Source organism: Homo sapiens, chromosome 5, assembly GCF_000001405.40.
Source record: "Homo sapiens chromosome 5, GRCh38.p14 Primary Assembly".
In the NCBI taxonomy this organism is placed as follows: Eukaryota; Metazoa; Chordata; class Mammalia; order Primates; family Hominidae; genus Homo; species Homo sapiens.
Genome location: NC_000005.10, coordinates 17,065,448 through 17,066,749, shown reverse-complemented (window position 1 = coordinate 17,066,749; position 1,302 = coordinate 17,065,448). Strand labels below are relative to the sequence as shown.

Below are 1,302 nucleotides of genomic sequence, written 5' to 3'. Positions count from 1 at the left end.
GGGATTTTTTTTTTTTTTTTTTTTTTTTTTGAGATGGAGTCTCACTCTGTCACCCAGGCTGGAGTGCAGTGGCAGGACCTCAGCTCACTGCAAGCTCCGCCTCCCGGGTTCACGCCATTCTCCTGCCTCAGCCTCCCAAGTAGCTGGGACTACAGGTGCCCGCGACCACACCCAGCTAATTTTTTGTATTTTCAGTAGAGACGGGGTTTCACCGTGTTAGCCAGGACGGTCTCAATCTCCTGACCTCGTGATCCGCCCACCTCAGCCTCCCAAAGTGCTGGGATTACAGGCGTGAGCCACTGCGCCCAGCCTGTTACAAGGTATTTTCATCCTGTTAGTAAATAATTGTCTTTAACTCTATAGTAAGTGTCAGGCCTCTGAGCCCAAGCCAAGCCATCGCAACCCCTGTGACTTGCATGTATACTTCCAGATGGCCTGAAGTAACTGAAGAATCACAAGAGAAGTGAATATGCCCTGCCCCGCCTTAACTGATAACATTCCACCACAAAATAAGTGTGAATGGCCGGTCCTTGCCTTAACTGATGATATTCCACTACAAAAGTAGTAAAAATGGCCGGTCCTTGCCTTAAGTGATGACATTACCTTGTGAAATTCCTTCTCCTGGCTCATCCTGGCTCAAAAGTCTCCCCCACTGAGCACCTCGTGACCCCCACTCTGCCCACCACAGAACAACTCCCCTTTGACTGTAATTTTCCTTTATCTACCCAAATCCTATAAAACAGCCCCACCCTTATCTCCCTTCGCTGACTCTCTTTTCAGACTCAGCCCACCTGCACCCAGGTGAAATAAACAGCTTTACTGCTCACACAAAGCCTGTTTGGTGGTCTCTTCACACGGACGCGCATGAAAGTAGGCAGAATATTTTTTGGTTGGGGTGGATGTAAAAGCGACACATAATAGTTTAGAAGACAACTAAACTTGCTTTACCAGCTGTTTAGGCATTTTTGTACCTCCTTCTTGATTTGGAGGGTTTGACCTTGACCTAATTTTTTCCCACAAAGCCAGCTCTTACAATCTTACACACCCACCTCTTCAGCAATAGTCCCTGGGCCCAGAGGGAGGCAGCTTGGATAGTTCTGGCAGCAGAGCATTAGCAGCGAAACAGATGTGGGGTCAGTGGGATGCCAAACAACGGAGACTCATATCTCTGGTCTTCAAAATACCATGATTTTGGTTTCCTTGGAAGTAAAACAAGGAGAAATAAATAACATTTACAGTTTGAGAATTACAAGAGTAATTCATATGTCAGAATAGAAAAAGGAACCTATTCCATTAGGGCAC

General features: G+C 46.5%; 1 annotated feature.

Moving 5' to 3' along the window:
- Positions 270–851: an enhancer, noted in NCBI's record as "NANOG hESC enhancer chr5:17066008-17066589 (GRCh37/hg19 assembly coordinates)". NCBI's record gives its function as "activates a minimal SCP1, AML or CMV promoter by ChIP-STARR-seq in naive H9 embryonic stem cells {active_cell/tissue: H9 hESC(naive)}" and the evidence as "EXISTENCE:reporter gene assay evidence [ECO:0000049][PMID:30033119]".